Source organism: Homo sapiens, chromosome 11, assembly GCF_000001405.40.
Source record: "Homo sapiens chromosome 11, GRCh38.p14 Primary Assembly".
NCBI lineage: Eukaryota > Metazoa > Chordata > Mammalia > Primates > Hominidae > Homo > Homo sapiens.
Window position 1 is genome coordinate 118,070,032 of NC_000011.10, and position 17,676 is coordinate 118,087,707.

Consider the following 17,676-nt stretch of genomic DNA (forward strand, 5'->3'; position numbering starts at 1 on the left):
CAATACAGCTGGGAGGCAACAGAGCTAAGATTTAAAGCTATGCACGGAGGTCATTCCAAGTATATGTTGTTCATTATCCGGATACTGAGAAAAACAAATGGGATAAAGTAAATCTATACCATTTACTTTCTAGCCAGATTCTTTTTTTTCCTTTTCTTTTTTTTGAGGTGGAGTTTCACTCATTGCCCAGGCTGGAGTGCAATGGTGCGACCTCGGCTCACTGCAGCCTCCGCCTCCCGGGTTCAAGTGATTCTCCTGCCTCGGGCTCCCCAGTAACTGGGATTACAGGCACCTACCACCACGCCCAGCTAATTTTTGTATTTTTAGTAGAGACGGGGTTTCACCCTGTTGGCCAGGCTGGTCTCGAACTCCTGACCTCAGGTGATCCATCTGCCTCGGCCTCCCAAAGTGCCCGGATTACAGCCGTGAGCCACCGTGCCCAGCCTCTAGACAGATTCTTATTAAAAACACTGTCAAACACTGTATGTTCATGGTCTGGAGTTTATAGTGCATGTAGGATGGAAAGCAGTATGTCCCAGCTCCACTGTCCTTCCTGTGTCTTCTAACCCTTGGGCTGCCCCAGGGTGAAATTAAGAGTATCCTGGAGAGACAGATGAAAAGAAACGGGATGGACTCACAAATAATCTGAAATTAGTTCATTGCCTAATTAAAGGGGAGAGGACTGAGTGAACAGGATGTTCACTGAGACTGCCGGCAAATTACACGGACAATATGGAAACCGGAACCGAGGCAAACCCAGGCAGGACTCTGGTGCTACAGGAACCTGAGTCCTTCCCAGAGGTCCCCAGTGGGCTGCAGAAGCCAGTGTAGGCCCCCTCCAGGATCTACGCAGGGCCCACCATGCATGGTCTAGGGCAAAAGGCCTAGGCATCCTGGGTTACACCGACCTGGATCTCAACCCTGCCTGAGCCTCAGTTTACTCCCTTGTGAAATGGAGGTAATAGCAGCACCCACGTTATAGGGTGGCTGCAAAGACAAAATGAGACAATGAGACTTCTTTCCACAGGCAAAAGAGCCTGGCACATGGGAGCGCACATTATATGGTAGCTATTTCCTTACCGTGTGTGGCTTATTTGAAGAAAATGCGTCCTGCCATTCTGTCAGACTCATGCCTGTCTTCCCCTCACCCCTACCCTCAAGTCAGGCATGTGGAAGGGAACACCTGTTCATCCTGGCAGGGGCCAGAGGAAGGTCAGCTCCCACTGAACAGAGGTGACTAGGGCTCAGGGTTGGGATCCAGGTTTGGGATTTTCAATTGCCTCGATTCTTTGGTACAGATAATTGAGGCTCAATTCAACCGCCTCTGAGACTAAATGATGTCTTAGGAGAAGGACTGCTAAGCAGTAGAAATCCTTTCCAGAAAGCTAGTGAATCAACAGGGAGCCTGCTTTGCATCCCCTCACAGTGAGCCAAGGTGCCTCCTGTTGGCCCCTGTAAAAAAGACACTGGGTTCCCTCCACGCTGCATTCCAGAGCTGCTTGGTATGAGTGAGCCTGGGCTGTTGCCAGCTCATGCCCACCCACTGCGCCCTTCTCTACCTAATTTCTTGGAAGAGATGTGAACAAATGAGCCAGTCACTGAAACTGATCTCAATTTACTTGGGTTCAAAGGGAAGAACCATAGGCTCTGCTGGCTGGAAGGAACCTCAGGGGTTCATCTATGTCAAGCTCCAGTCTCTGAATTCAGCTCACTTCAGAAATAATAGCCTCTACCCACTCCTGAGTGTGGGAAGAGACCTAGAACAGCATTGCTCAAACTTTAAGGTGAATTCAAATCACCTGGGGATCTTGGAATGCAGACTCTGACTGAATAAGAGTGGGGCGTGCTGAGATTCTGCACTTCTAACCAGCTTCCAGCACTGGTGGCATTGCTGGGTCCATGGGCACACATACCTTGAGCAGGAAGGATCTACAGGGCTTGCTGCCCTCAGAAGCTCCTAGAAGGGAAGGGCAGTATATGGGCAGACTGAGCTCTTCAAGGCAGGAGATATTTTATTTTTCCCAACCACAGTGTCTAACCACATTGTCTGATATCATCATAGAAAATACTTGCTGGCTGGCTGGATGGATGGGTGGATGGATGGCCAGGCACATATAGACAGATGAGTGGGTGACTGCTGATACTGAGATCAAATGCACAATCAGAAACAACTGGCAGCCAGGCACCGTGGCTCACACCTGTAATCCCAGCACTTTGGGAGGCCAAGGTGGGTGGAGCACCTGAGGTCAGCAGTTCGAGATCAGCCTGGCCAACACGGCAAAACCCGTCTCTACTAAAAGAAAAAAGTTAGCTGGGTGTGATGGCAGAGACCTGTAATCCCAGCTACTCCGGAGGCTGAGGCAGGAGAATTGCTTGAGCCTGGGAGGCAGAGGTTGCAGTGAGCGGAGATCGTGACATTGCACTCCAACCTGGGTGACAGAGCTAGACTCCGTCCTCAAAAAGAAACAACTGGCAATTGATATATCATCCTACAAATTACTGTAGCTAAGCAAAAATATCTAGGGGAAAAATGAAGGCAGGAAGAAAGAAGGAAATCAGGCAGGGAGGAGAGGAAGGAGGAAGGGAGCAGAGAGAGCTGTAAAAATGAAAAAAGGTTTCCAAACCCCCAAGTGTTCTCTTTTTATCTCTACTAGAACATCTTTTTAAGCTTACTGTGATGTGTGGATGTCTCCTGTCTCCTTCAGTAGACTGTAGGGTGTTTGTATTCAGAGCCTGTGTTTTATCTCCTAATCCACAGTGCCTAACACAAGAGGTAGGCCTAGCATGAGCTCCATAAACACACATTTTGTGAAATGAATGGGGATAACAGTGCCATTTACAACATCTCTCTTAGGCACCAAACACTTCACATGGAAGTGAAGGTCTTGTGTTGTCGTTGTTGTTTTTGAGACGGAGTCTCGCTCTGTCACCCAGGCTGGAGTGCAGTGGCAAGATCTTGGGTCACTGCAACCTCCACCTGGGTTCAAGCGATTCTCCTGCCTCAACCTCCTGAGTAGCTGGGATTACAGGCACCCTCCACCACGCCCGGCTAATTTTTTTGGTATTTTTAGTAGAGTAGTTTGGTATTTTTAATAGAGGTTTTGCCATGTTGGCCAGGCTGGTCTCAAACTCCTGACCTCAAGTGATCCACCTGCCTTGACCTCCCAAAGTGCTGGGAATACAGGCATGAGCCACTGCGCCCAGCCAGGATTATCTCTTAATCTTCATAACAACCCTATGAGGTCAGAAGTATTGTTATCCCCACTTTACAGATGAAGAAGATGGCGTGCAAGAGGATTAAATAAGATGCCCATGGTTACGCAAATCATTAGTGGCTGAGATTAGGAGGCAGGACCCCAGGCCACTAGAGCTCAAGCTCTTGACCAGGGAGGATTCAGGTTTTGAGAGGCCTGAAGCTTATGCATTTTGAGGGGCTTGGTTTTTTTCAAAAAGCAACAGACTCTTTAATGTGGTTTAAAATACATCCAGATCAAGTCCCCGGCTGTTGTGAATGCCGAAAAGAGACAAAAAAGCTGCCGGTGCAGCTTCAAACAAGTCTGAGCGTCAGGCTGGCCCATAAGGAAAGCAGTTGCAGGGACAGGAGGCAGCCCCCTCCTCCAGGAAGGGCAACAGGAGCAGCCGGGTGCCTGCCTGTCCCTGGGGTGACCGCCTCTGTGCTGTGCAAGGCGGGAGGGCTGTGGCAATAGGCCTTGGACCTCCCCCATGGACACCAGCGAGTTCCCCTGGCCTCTGGGTCAGCCCTCAGCAGCGCCGCCATGATGGGGTGGAGGAGGGTTAAATAACCATCTTTACAGAAATAATATTCTCCTGCAGAACGTGTCTGAGCTCAGACCATTGTCCAGAAACCTCATAGAAAACAAACAACAAAGTTTTTTAAAGTGCTGCTGACACCTCTCAGAATCTGGTGTGCATAGAGCTCTCAGCTGGACGAGACCTGTTGGTCCTTAAACTGAGGTCACCTGTATGGGACCAGCCTGGGTGAGGAAGGCTCTGGCCTTCACTCACAGGGATAGGCCACTTCTTGAGGGGCTTTCTTGAAGAAAAAGCACGTCAAAGAAATATTCAGCAAAATTTACAAAAACGTATGATTGTGTGAACATATTGCCGGGCCCTTTCCCAGGGCCCTGGAAGGAACCGTGCAAGTGAGGGGCTCTGAAGCTTCAGCTTCAGGAGTTTCATGATAACTCTGCCTCGGATCTTGACACACATGCTGGAAACAGATAAGGAAAGGGAAGAAGGAAGAGAAAAAAATGTCAAAAATAAAGAGGAAGAGATAAAAGAGAAGTAATGGGAGGGAAAGAAGAGAGGAAAAACAGGAGGAGGATCTAAAGAGATGGATGGGCAAGAGAAAGAAGCAGGCAGGACAGGGCTGAGGGAGAGCTGAGGCTTCCTCCGGGAGAATGGGGGTTCTGGGCCGGGTGCGGTGGCTCACACTTGTAGTCCCAGCACTTTGGGAAACCAGAGCGAGTGGATCGCTTGAGCTCAGGGGTTTGAGACCAGCCTTGTCAACATGGTGAAACCCTGTATCTACAAAAAATACAAAAATAAGCCAGGCATAGTGGCTCACACCTGTAATCCCAGCTACTTGGGGGACTGAGGCGGGGGAATCCCTTGAGCTCAGGAGGTGGAGGTTACAGTGAGCTGAGGCTGCACCACTGCACTCCAGCCTGGGCAACAGAGGGGGACCCTGTCTCAGAAAAAAAAAAAAAAAAAGAATGTGGGTTCTGGTCCAGCTGGTTTTCCCTGGCACCTGGGAGAGGTGGGCCTCTGTTGTCTCCAGGCCACTGTGCCTCCCTCTGTAAACCTTCACCCCCACCTGCAGGCATCACAGCCACCCTGCCCAGTCCTGCTTATGTGCCTTCTTCCCGGACCTCTCCACAAACTCCCAGACCCAAATGGGAGCAGAAGCCAGGAGGGCTGAGTCATCATCCCTCCAACCAGCCATGCCCAGCAGCCTTCATGCCCAGACAGCTGCCTCTTTCCTGGTTCATCACCTGAGCACCAGGTAAAGCAATGCAAACCTGTGGGCCAGATGTTTAGCCTGGCACATAGAGGAACCAAGACAACTGAAAACGTGGCTCCCAGTGGCCCACTGGCTTCTCACTGCCCTGCTGCTGGGGAGGTGCCTGCCTGGACCATCACGGCCCTGACCCTGAGGTCACCTGAGATCACAGGCTCTTGCCTCTGCCCAAGACTTCCAACTCTCAAGGCCACCAGCCATCAGTAAGGAAGGGCTGGGGCTGTGCTGGCTCCAGAGCCCTGCAGGCCAGCTTCAGATCTCTGCTGCTCAGAGACAAGTCCAAGGCCACACTGCATTCATCAGCTGAGATTTGGCCAATAATCCATTACACAGATCCGGTATTCCTCCTGCTCAGACATCACTGGGGTCCTCCATGGGCCATATTATCCCAAACCATGAACCTGGGGCTTTCAAACACTTGTGTTCCATTCAGCCTGTTCACAAGCCTGGCAGTGTGAACCAGTAAGAGAACCAGGTTCCAGCCCCAACTCTGCCCGAAACTACTTCATGTCCATAGGCTATAGTTTCCTCAGCTGACAAATGGGAACAAAATATTGGGGTTGTTGTTGGAGAATTAAAGGGCTGATACACAGAAGCACGTTATCAACAGAAGGACAAATACACACGTCTAACCCAGGCTGGTCTCCTGGGAGGGTCAGGTCTGAGAAATGGAAGGAGATCTGGATTCATATGGAACCAGACACTAATTCATTATGTGACTTTGGGTCATTGACTTTGCCTCTCTGGAATTTAGTTTTGTCGCCCACAGAATGGGGGAACAATGTGGACAATTATCCAAGTCTCTCCCAGCAAAATATCTGTGGCTGTAAGGTTTCACCTTGCACATCCCCTGGCCAGGGGGCAGCTCCAGCTATCAGGATGTGGCAGAACGTGAATCAGAAATGATCCTGTGGGGCTGGGTGCGGTGGCTCACGCCATAATCACAGCACTTTGGGAGGCTGAGGCAGGTGGATCAGTTGAAGCCAGGTGTTTGAGACCAGCCTGGCCAACATGGCAAAACCCCATCTCTACTAAAAATACAAATTAGCCAGGCATGGTGGCGCACAACACCTGTAATCCCAGCAGCTACTTGGGAGGCTGAGGCAGGAGAATCACTTGAACCTGGGAGGTGGAGGTTGCAGTGAGCCAAGATCGCGCCACTGCACTCCAGCCTGGGCAACAGAGACTCTGTCTCAAAATAAAATAAAATACAAAAACACAAAACTTAGCTGGGTGTGGTGGCAGGTGGCTGTAGTCCCAGCTACTCGAGAGGCTGGAGCACGAGAATTGCTTGAACCTAGGAGGCGGAGGTTGCAGTGAGCTGAGATTGCGCCCCTGCACTCCAGCCTGGGGGACAGAGAGAGACCCTGTCTTAAAAAAAGAAAAGAAAAAAAGAAAGAAAGAAAGAAGGAAATGACTCCGTGGACGAGGAGACGTGGGCTCTAGCCAGAGCACCAATAGTGATTTTCAGAATATTGAACGGCTGCTGAGGCAGGGGCAGGAAGCACTAGTACATTGGCTCTGTGCAGGACAGCTTCACTTCTGGGATCCAGGGAAAGGGGGTACATCTTACCTCCCTAAGAGAAGAAACTCCCTCCTTCTCTGTGGACTTTCCAATCCTATTGCTCCACACCTGGCAATGATCTCTTTGTACTGAGCTGCAAACCCTGTCGCCCAACCCCCAGACCACTCCAACTTCCCACAACCCCAAACCAAAGCACCCACACAGTGAGAAGTCATGCACCTAGAAGGTAGGGGGAGGGGGGGCGGAAACTTCTGGCATCACCCTCAGCCAACACCCAGTTGGGTGGAAGTCATTCAGGCGGGAAGGCTTTTGTTACGCCTTAGGTGTGTCACCTGTTCTGAGGCCGAAGGTCCCATGAATGACTTCAGGTGTTGTTCCAGCCCCTAAGATAGGTGTCAGGTTACAAGACACATAATCATTCCAGTTTGGCAACTTCACTTGTAGGGCTGTTTTAATCAAGCTGCCCAAAGTCCCCCAATCACTCCTGGAATACACAGAGAGAGGCAGCAGCTTGCTCAGCGGACAAGGATGCTGGGCGTGAGGGACCAAGGCCTGCCCTGCACTCGGGCCTCCTCCAGCCAGTGCTGACCAGGGACTTCTGACCTGCTGGCCAGCCAGGACCTGTGTGGGGAGGCCCTCCTGCTGCCTTGGGGTGACAATCTCAGCTCCAGGCTACAGGGAGACCGGGAGGATCACAGAGCCAGCATGGTGAGTGTGGGGCCCTCTGCTCCCAAGACACAGGAAGGGTGGGTCTCCCCATGTAAGGCCCTTCAAGCAGCCTGAGCATCCATCAGCTGAGAATTCTGTGACACCTTCTAGGTTAAAAAAAGAGGCCACACCCAAATCCCCTCACACCCCAGCCCGGTACACGTCTCATACCCACCTGCCTTCCTCTCTTCCTCCATTGCCATGGTCCTTGGACCAGCTCACCTAAGAAGCTGAGCACAGAGCCAGGGCTGTCCTTCCCGACTATTCTTTCCTGAATCCTGCATGTTCTTTTGCCCAATGTCTCCAGGTCTGTTGGTTAGAGGTTGGCACTATTTTTCCAAGGCAGGGGGCTGTTCTGATGCCACGGTTGCCCTCTGCCACTCCCTGGGGAAACTGATTCCTTTTCTTTTTAAAGAAAAGTGTAGACTGGGTGCAGTGGCTCACGCCTGTAGTCCCAGCACTTTGCGAGGCTGAGGCAGACAGATCTCTCGAGGTCAGGAGTTTGAGACCAGCCTGGCCAGTATGGTGAAACCCCATCCGTACTAAAAATACAAAAAATTAGCCAGGCGTGGTGGCAGGTGCCTGTAATCCCAGCTACTTGGGAGGCTGAGGCAGGAGAATCGCTTGAACTTGGGAGGCGGAGGTTGTGGTGAGCCAAGATTGTGCCATTGCACTCCAACCTGGGCAACAAGAGTGAAACTCCGTCTCAAAAAAAAAAAAAAAAAAAAAAAAAAAAAAAGAAAGAAGGAAAAGAAAACAGTGCAGAGATGCCTCCAAACAATCTAGGGTGTTTGTGGTCATCTTTTACTTGGTCTCTTTTCATGCCCTCACCCTCTCTCCTCCTCCTCTGAATACCTGGAGCGTCTTCGCTGTCTTGGGGCAAAGAGAATCAACCCTATCTTTCAAGGAGGACAGCTGAGGGCCAGGGAGGGGAAGAGATAATAACTGGGTCTGAGGAGGAACCCAGGGGTCTTCCTTCTCCAGTCCTTGGCCAAGAGGCAGCAATTGCCCAGCCACCAAAGTGAAAGGGAAGGGAAGAGAGGAAAGGAGAAGCCACTGTCCAAGGGGGAAGGGTGTGACCTGCAGGGGCCCCTCGAGTGATTGTCTCCTATTCCCAACCTGAGCACTTCCCACGACACTCTTCTGAAAATTCTGGCAAGAACAATTCTTAGTGCGGTTGTAGCTGATGATCAGAAAGGGGAAGGGGCTTCCCTTTGAGCCAGGATCAAAGCACAAGCTTCCTGCTTTCCCATCCAAGGAGGCGCCCCAAAGTTTGGCCTGTGTGCAGAGACGCTGTATCCCCTGGGGCTCCCAGGAGAGGAGAGCAGCTGTGGAGTCTACCTAGCTGTGAGCTGCTTCTGGGTGGCAGGCACTGAGGAGACCTGGGGTGTCTCTTGGGGGAGCAACAGAGAAGGGAATCATTTCTAGGGCAGGTCACTAACTGCAGAATCAGAAGGCTGAGGCCAGCTCCCTGATTAGCTGTGCTGTCTTGAGGCATTCATCTTCCCGAGACTCACCTTCTCCCCTGCCCACGGAAACGATATGACCCACAACAGCCCCACGCACATGCACCGGGTTCGCAGAGATTACACAGCTAATACATGTGAGTAGGTTCTGGAAACCATGAAGCCCCGCACAGATGTAAGGACTTAGGACTAAAGAGGAGTCTGTGCTAGGAAATGACAGCTGGGTAGTACACCCAACACAGACCCTTTGCCACCAGGGAAGGAGCTGGGCATTGCTGGAGGAGCGGGGGAGGGCAGGTGGGAACACTGGTGGAGGGGTCAGGTCAGGCCTGGGGCCCCAAAGGCAAGGCAGCAGCATGGCCAATCTCCACGGTGTGGTCAAGGAAGTTTCTAGCCCCGGAGCTAGCCATTATACTGCCTGTGCTGAATAACCCTGTCATTAAGCCTGTGCTTAATAACCCTTGACAGCCATAGCTCCCAGCCCTGAGGGGAGGATGGGATCTCCACACCCAGGCTCAGCCCTCCCTTCCCTTCCCTTCCATTCCCTACCTCCTTCCATCCCCACAGGCCCCTTTCTGTGACAGTCAGGGTCCTTTGAGCTGCTGCGTCTTAATGACAGCTCTCCCAAGAACCCATTAAGCTGGGTATTCCTAGGGAGAGCTGGAGCAGGGACTCAGGCCCAGGCAGAGGTCAGAGCCCAAGCCCTGTCCCCGAAGGAAATGTGTCCCATGCTAACTACTCCATAGCTGAGGCCTGGAGGGAAGTCAGGGACCCTGGGACTGGTTATCCTGGCCTTGACTCATTACTGTTCCGGAGACCTAAACGCACCCTGAGCCACCAGACGTGGGTGTTAACACCTGAGGTCAACCCCCTGACGCTTCCGGCTGCTCTGGAGGAAGCTGGTCCTCCCTCCCACCTCCTGTTTTCCGTGCCAGCCTGGTACAGAGTCAAGGGGCTTGGCTGGGCTTGGCTGGGCTCAGAAACGTGGCAGTCAGGAGCCAGCCTGCGGGCAGCGGGGTGCTGGGAGCACTGCAGGGTCCACCCTGACTGGGGCACAGAATCCAGAAGCCCACTCGGCCCTGGCAGTGCCATCCTAGGCTCTGAGGTGGTAAACTGAGCTGGGCAGTGGGAAGGTCCTAAAGGGCAAGACAGGCAAGGAGGGGCTGCTTGCTTTGCCTGCTCTCCTGGATCCTTTGCCACCTGGGTGACAGGGCCTGGTGTCACTGTAACCACTCCCCCCCCACCAAAAGAAGCTCCAGCCAGACACCATTTAATCAGCCCCTTTCATTGGCCAGCCTCTAAATGGGGCTGGGGATTGGGAGGACCCAATACCTAGGTTTCACCCTGCAGGTGCTCAACACAGAGTGTGACAAGTATAACACCAGCAGTGGTTACAAGGTACCCCTGGAGCTGAAAAAGCAATAGATTCTCTCTAGGGAAGTCGGGAAATTGTCCTGGAAGAGAAACTATTTGCATTGGACTCTGAAGGATGGGCAGGCTCTCTCCAGGCAGGGAAAGCAGGAAGGAGCTCCAGACACAGGGGACTGCATGTGTGAACAGCAAGAAAGAGTGGTAGTATAGGGACAACAGGCTCTCGCTGTGGCTGGAGCAAAGACTCCGGCACTCCAGGTCATGGGAGCTGCACCTGCCGAGGTGGAAGCTGCATCCCCAGGCCCTGTCCATCTCCCAGGGCGCTTCCAGCCTGACCCTGGGGGTCAAGCTCTGTGCCTGGGTGCTTCCCTGGAGAAGGGGTTCAGATGTCAGGGCTCCTGCGTGACCCCAGGCCTCTCTCCTCCTCTCAGTCTTCCCTCAGTGCAGCTGAGAACCCAGCAGCCACCTCCCTAGCCCAGACCCATGCCAAAGCCCAAGAGATCTGAGGAGCTGAATGTAAGAAATGAGGAGAGACCAGCTCAAGGGGGTCATGGGTAGAGGGAGAGATGAGAAAAACAGACCCAAAACAGAGCTGGGGAACTGCCGACAAGCTTCCCAAAGCCCCAGAAACGCCCCAGGGCAGCAGGAGACAAATGCTTTCAGGCCTGAAAATCTCCACGGCCTCAGACTTCCCAGGTGCCTCTTCTGCCCTCAGTCTTCCTTCCTGCTCAGGTGAAAACATCAGCCTCAGTAAAACGCTTCAAGTTCCCAAGCAAGGATTCCCTGGGACAGTGAACTCCTCCAAACCTAAAGTGCAATCATCTACCACATTTTCTTTTAAACCTGTTGCCACCAGAATGGGAGCTTCTTGAGGACAGGGTCTGTGTCTTTTCTGCTTTTAGCCGCAAACCTAGCACAGGGCATGGCATCCATGGCATGGACTAGGCACTTAGTAAATGTGAATGAATGAATGAGTGGATTGATGGATGACAGGTAAATAATCAAAGACAGAATCCCCTATAACCAATTTCTGATTTATCTGACACTGAAAACAAGGCTCACCCGAAGTCCAATTGGAAAACATACCAGATCTATCTGAGGGGTTACTAAAGTGTTTTTATCCCAGAGGGGGATGGGCATGAGGGAGGCACAGGTCTGAGCCTGCCCGGAAACCCTGGTGATAGGGAAGGGGAAGAGTGGGGCAGAGCCAATGTGGCAATCCCCCTGTGACACGTCTAACGCCACCTCCCAGCCTGCCACTCTGACTAACCAGCACGTCGGCAGCTGAGAAATGTGTAAACAAGATGGAAAACCGCAACAGTCCTCCCCTGCCCGTGGCCCCCAGAGCACCCTCCAGCTTCCTCGCATAATCCACGTGCAACCAGAAACTCTCGAAGGGTAGCAGATGAAAGGAACACTTGAGGAAGAGGGTGAGAGACATGATGGCCCCTGTCCAGGCGTGCGCACCTGTCCAGGGGTGGCAGTCGCGTCTCCTGTCACAAAATGTCCTGCACATCAGTCTGGCTGGGCGTCGCCCGCTGGTGCGGTTGAGCCAACCAATGCTTTCAGCATATCCTGCTGTCTCAGTTTCTTCCTCTAAATCTGTATGCATTCATTCATTCATTCATTCAGCATGTGTTCCCTGAGCATCTACTATGTGCTAGGTACTGGCAAGATACCATGGAAGATTCAGAGAATATGTAAAATCTAGGCCTTCAGTTTTGTGCACTCCATAGATGGAACAGGAGCAGGGGAGACTGCTTTCCCACACTCCAGACAAAGCCTGACACTCACTCACTCACTGATGTCCACAAGAAGGGGCTAAACATAGAGCCAAGGTCAGCCCCCTCACCTTCATCCCATCTCCACCCTGACATCACTCACGATCACATCTCCAGTCTCCAGAGAGGAGGGTCTTGCCAGGCTGCTGGGAGAACCTGTCCGGACACGTAGGAGTCACTGGTGGTCTTAAAGAGAATAATAGCTACAGCGGCAGTATCACATCTCTATCCAAATGCAACAAGGGCCCCATGTTGTGCTTTGAGAAGCACTTTCACATCCAAAATCTCCCTTCAGTCTAATACAACTCTCTGAGACATTGTAATCCTCATTCTACAGATGAAGAAATTGAGGCTCAGCCGGGTGTGGTGGCTCATGCCTGTAATCCCAGCACTTTGGGAGGCCTAGGTGGGCGGATCACCTGAGGTCAGAAGTTCAAGACCAGCCTGGCCAACATGGTGAAACCCCATCTCTACTAAAGATATAAACATTAGCCGAGCGCAGTAGCTCACGCCTGTAATCCCAGCGACTCGGGAAGCTGAGGCATGAGAATCGCTTGAACCCAGGAGGCAGAGGTTGCAGTAAGCCGAGATCACACCACTGCACTCCAGCCTGGGCAATAGAGTGAGACTCGGTCTCAAAAAAAAAGAAAGAAAGAAAGAAATTGAGGCTCAAAGAGGTTCATGACTTGAAAAGGGTCATTCAGCCAAGGGCAAAGGGAAAACCAGTAGCTATAATTAACTTAGACTTTCAAGAAGACTAAACTAAAGTTTCATACCCAATGCTGCTCAGGGAAAAAAAAACCCAAATTACCAGGAGACCATTAACGATAGAAAATTGATTTAAAGAGAGAATATTATAAGTGGATCAGGCCTAGGACTAATCCTATCTGTGGGAGGAGACAAGAGAAATTTCAGGCTGAGAGTGAGCTCTTCAGAATCACAGACCCTAAGGAAAAACCTTAGAGGTCTTCTCGGCGAGTGGGTTCCCCAAGCGTACTTTGACCTCAGAGCCTTTAGCTCCACTGAAATCAAATGCAGAATCCTCGTATGGGACACAGAGAGAAAAACAGAGCTGCAGTGTTTGAAAGGACTGTCCCCCACCCCCGCCACTTCTGCCCTGCCTCCCTCTCCTCTGCTGCGCCGCTGCGGGGCTCGGTCGAATCCCCCAGGGGTGCTCAGAGCCCTTATCTGACCCTGGCCCTCGTCTGCCACAGAAACCTTCACAATCCAGCTTTTGCTCACACATCTGTTTCTAGAAGCTACGGTTGCTGAAAACAATCTTTCCTTTGCCAGGAGAAAAGACTTTCTGTAACTTCCCCCGTTCCTCCTAGAACTGTCTTTTGCCTTTCTCAGACGGCCACACACACTTGAAGCTTTCATGCTTCCACTGGTCCTTGCTTCTCTGAACTGCGTGTTCCACCCTCTCTTCCGAGAGAGTTCACACAGGTCACACGACATCACCTCCGGTCCCAACTGCCCTGGTCACTGTCCCCAGATGCGCTTAGTCCACAGAGTCCCCTGCTGAAGCCAAGCCCCGGGGCCCATGAAATCATAAAAGTCGCTCTTTGCTCAGTTCCTATTACATACATGACAGGCCCTCTATGAAGCTCCTTCCCATTAACAATAAATAATTTTTGACTATGAGTATCTACTATGTCATGAACTTCCCAAGTTCTATTTTAATATTGTTATTAATAACTAATAAAAATAATAGAATATACTCCATGGGCAAAAGAGCTTTACCTCTGGTTCACTGCTAGGTCTCCAGGGCCCAGAAAGTTGCCTTACTAAATGAGTAAACTATTATTGTTGTTGTTATTATTATTACAGTTAACAATTACTGTACTCTTGGCTGGGTGCAGTGGCTCACACCTGTAATCCCGCTTTGGGAGGCCGAAAAGGGCAGATCACATGAGGTCAGGAGTTCAAGACCAGCCTGGCCAACATGGTGAAAGTACAAAAAATTAGCTGGGCGGTGGTGGCAGACGCCTGTAATCCCAGCTACTCTGGAGGCTGAGCCAGGAGAATCGCTTTTACCTGGGAGGTGGTGGTTGCAGTGAGCCGAGACAGCGCCACTGCACTCCAGCCTGGGCAACAGAGCGAGACTCCATCTCAAAAACAAAACAAAAAAACAATTATCGTACTCTTACCGTGCACCAGGCAATGTACTATATGCTATGCATATCTGGGGCTCCTTAGGAGGGAGACTTACTGCATCTCTCTTTCTCTCTCTCCCTCTTTTTCACACACACATGAAACTGAGTTTCTTGGTGGTTCAATAACTTGCTAAAGCCTCAGGCCAATGAGCAAACAGGATTCAGACCTAGGCTGCAGGATTCCACGGCCTGTGCTCTGTGCACTGTAAAACACAACCTCTCCTAGCAAATGTAATTTCAGCAAGGAAAAACTTCATGAAGCACTCGACGAGTTATGTGAGTGGGCAGGAAAGCAGTAAAGGAACTTCAGGTTATGCAACTGCAAAGTCAGAGAGGCAGAGAAGACACTGAAGCACTATTAAAGCACTATTTATAGGATCCTGAGCTCAGAGTTCACAGGAAACAGATCTAGGAGTCACTGAAACCTGTGCCAGGAGATTGGCTGCAGCAGCCACACCAGCCCAGCAAGGCTGGTTATCACTGGGGCCTCCAGAACAAACGAGAATCCTCAACCCTGCCCCTGTACAGAACCACAGCACAGACCCTCCTTGAACATGTGTGGAGTTCTGCTCTCCATGCCTGTAGGGTAATTGGGGCAGAGAGCACTAATTTTCACTTACTAAACTCCTCTATGTTTCAAGCACCAAGCCAGGCACATCACATGTGTCATCAATAATTCTCACCAACAACCCTGTGAATTAAGTCATATTCTCCCCATTTTACAGATGAGAAAACTGAGACTCAGAAAAATTTATTAACTTGCTCAAGACTTCATGGCTGGGAAGAGGCAGAGCTGGATTCAGGCCAGTGTCCCTGCCTCAGAGTTCAGGAGGAGCAGGATCAAGGGACAACCCCCTTCTGATCAAGGCAGCTGAGACCCCTCAAACTGCAAAGACCAACCTAGGGGACTATGAGCAAGTCTGTAAAATCATGCAAAGACCAGATGGGGCTCCTGGGGGCTTGCAAAGGTGCTGAAAATGTGCACGGTGCTGAGCAGGTGGCGCACCTTACAGAATCTTTCTCCCCATCATCTTGTGAAGTCGCTTTTATTGTACCCACATTCCAAAGAAGGAAACTGGGTCCAGGAGCTGTTTAGTGACTTGCTCAAAAGTTGTTCTACAGATGGAGGAGTCAGATCTTCTTCTTCTTTTTTTTTTTTTTTGAGACAGAGTCTAACACTGTTGCCCTGGCTGGAGTACAGTGGCAGGATCTTGGCTCACTGCAACCTCCGCCTCCCAGGTTCAAGCGATTCTCCTGCCTCAGCCTCCCGAGTAGCTGGGATTACAGGCACCTGCCACCACGCCCAGCTAATTTTTTGTATTTTTAGTAGAGATGGGGTTTCACTATGTTGGCCAGGCTGGTCTCAAACTCCTGGCTGGAGTCAGTCCCAATCAGTTCCTTTTCCCTCCCTGCCATTTCCCTCCCTCTTAAAGTTTAAAGGACAACTCAGGACAAGCAAAAGTGAGTACGATTCTTGAAAGATGGTATAAACTCTGTCTTTGAACCTTTTTAAATTAACGTCAGACTGCTCCATGGATGGCAGGTCCTCAGTTCAGGTAAATTGCAAGGTTGAGAGAACCCCTCTAAGCTTTAAAATCCATCAGCCCTTCCCAATGGCAAACCCATGAGGGTCCCTGCCAGGCTGAAAGGCTGAACTGTGTGGCGGGACCCCTTCTGGCCCTCTCGAGTCCCCTCCAGCCATTGTCCAGGCATTGTCCTCAGGTGTGCAAAGATGGTGGCACCTTCCTTCCTATCAGACCCTTCCAGGAGGGGAAGGTGGGCTCAGATGGACCCACCACTCTGGAACAGAGGGAAAGCTGAGCAAAGTAGAGCTGTTGAGAGTTCAGAAAGGTGGGAGAGAATGGGCTGCTTCCCCTAGGACAAAGAGAAGGATCGCAGAGGGATTCCTAAGCACTGCAGTAAACAGCAGCATCACCTGGAAGCAGGGCCCTCCAGTGGGAACCAGGTCTGTCTTCAGTTTAATTTAGCCCAAGGGGCATGTACAAATACCTCACTCCTGCCCTTCACATTGTCTCTGGGGAAAAAGCATAAGCGCTGTGCCTCAGTTTCTCCATTTGTGAAATAGGAATAGTTACATCTTCCCTGCCTCCCCAGCCCTATCTGAACCTAAGAGCTATGCCCGAACACAAAAGCTGATTCTTAAATGATGGGAGCTGAACAGCAGGCTGGCAGGGGATAATGGCAGGCTGCCTGACTCCTCCCTTCTGCCCCAGGCCCTGCCCTGGAGCCATTATGTGCTGAGATGGGGGATGAGGTGCTCGGCTCAAATTGCCAATAGGTCAGCACCTATGTGGTTTAGAACAAGGCAAAATGGTTTCTAATGTAGCAGCCAAGGCTGAGGTTAGACCCAAAGGAAAAAGTGCTGCTCTAATAATGACTCAACGCAAGGCAGTGTTTGTGAGGATGCTCCCTGAATTTCTGCGTGAGAGCTTAGATGCCCAGCGGCATATGGCCTGGGCTGGTGGCCGACCTGCCTAGAGACAGAGTAACAGGTGCGATCCCAGGATACTTGGAAGTCGGCATGATCAGTCATCTCTGAGGACCTCCCATGCACTCTGGGCTGCTGCATCACCACCAGGCTCATCTCAGGAAACTCACTCCCTCCTCTCCTGCCCCATGATCTTCCAGCCCTCAGTGACCCTCTCCTTACCTGTCATGGCTGAGACATCCAAGAGAGAGAGCCCTGTTGCCAGCGCAGCAAAGGCATCAAACTGCCTATTCCAGCTGCAAGTGGAGAGGACACAGCTGCTTGCCGTTGGTTTTGGGGAGGGATGCAGGTTCTGGGGTCAGAGAGCAGAGTGAGGCTCCCTCAGAGGAGCACTGTGGCCGGGCCCCACTCTGCAAGCTGACGGCAAGCACCTCTGGGTCTCTTGGCTTACCCGAAGAACTTTCCCCACCCCCTCCCTTGGGTTTTCCCCACTGCTTATTACTGGCCTCAGCAACCTAACTGCCACCTGCCCAAGCCTCAAAGGACCTGTTTATCCCATCACCTAGCAACAGCACCATCTCTGGCTCTAGGTTTTCCTATGAGACCATGGGAAGCCAGGGCCTTGGACTCCAGGGAAGACTGAAGCTGTCACCCTCTTTTGTGTGCCCCTGCTTTTCTCTCTTTGTCCACACTCCAGTCATTCCAGCTCTGCCCTTACTGACTTCTTTCCAGAGCAAGTCAATGCCAAGTCAGCATTGCAGAGAGGAAGAGAGAAATCAGGCCCCAGGGACAGGATGCTTGGCAAGGGAGGCAGACAGGAGCTGGCCGAGCTTTCTGTTCCTTTGGCCTCCTTGAGCTGCCGCCTCTTCTTCCTCTCCTTATTAGCCTGGTGGACTTGCCTGTTTCATTATGAGGTTATTAACTCTTTCATCCCATCTCTGAAGGGCAGTTCCCAATTACCCAAAGGGATCTTGAGGTTCAGAGACATTGAGGAGTGTGCCCAAAGCCACACAGCAAGTCAGAAGACAAGGCAAGATGAGAACTCATACTCTCCAGGCTGGTGGCTTCTCTGCAGCACACTTTGTGGCTTCTCTGCAGCCACTTAAGCTTCACTCCATTTAAAAACAAGAGCTGCCTTGTATCTGGGTTCATTCTCTCTGAGCTGGAAAGGAAGTTGAC

General features: G+C 51.4%; 2 protein-coding genes across 21 annotated transcripts in view, besides 2 other annotated features; one reads left to right on the top strand and one right to left on the bottom strand.

Annotated features, from left to right (window-relative positions):
- SMIM35 (small integral membrane protein 35) overlaps nt 1-16,932 on the bottom strand; it is an 83,330-nt gene extending 66,398 nt beyond the window's left edge. For all 5 annotated transcript variants that reach the window (NM_001394166.1, NM_001394165.1, NM_001394164.1 and 2 more), the window contains exon 1: nt 16,720-16,932. In NM_001394166.1, coding sequence (NP_001381095.1) covers nt 16,720-16,726 — 7 coding nt within the window. In that variant the 5' untranslated portion in view covers nt 16,727-16,932. The remainder of the gene's footprint in view (nt 1-16,719) is intronic.
- Nucleotides 6,902-7,497: an enhancer, noted in NCBI's record as "H3K4me1 hESC enhancer chr11:117947648-117948243 (GRCh37/hg19 assembly coordinates)". NCBI's record gives its function as "activates a minimal SCP1, AML or CMV promoter by ChIP-STARR-seq in naive H9 embryonic stem cells {active_cell/tissue: H9 hESC(naive)}" and the evidence as "EXISTENCE:reporter gene assay evidence [ECO:0000049][PMID:30033119]".
- Nucleotides 7,047-17,676, top strand: part of TMPRSS4 (transmembrane serine protease 4) — a 48,428-nt gene continuing 37,798 nt past the window's right edge. For all 16 annotated transcript variants that reach the window (NR_110734.2, XM_005271613.5, XM_011542901.3 and 13 more), the window contains exon 1: nt 7,047-7,274. Coding sequence is in view for 13 of the 16 variants with exons in the window: in XM_005271613.5 (XP_005271670.1) it covers nt 7,272-7,274 (3 nt within the window). In the remaining 3 variants the exon portion in view is untranslated. The remainder of the gene's footprint in view (nt 7,275-17,676) is intronic.
- Nucleotides 13,163-13,457: a silencer, noted in NCBI's record as "tiled region #13014; HepG2 Repressive non-DNase unmatched - State 4:PromP, and K562 Repressive DNase matched - State 8:EnhW". NCBI's record gives its function as "represses a minimal TATA promoter and a strong SV40 promoter by Sharpr-MPRA in HepG2 and K562 cells {active_cell/tissue: HepG2 | K562}" and the evidence as "EXISTENCE:reporter gene assay evidence [ECO:0000049][PMID:27701403]".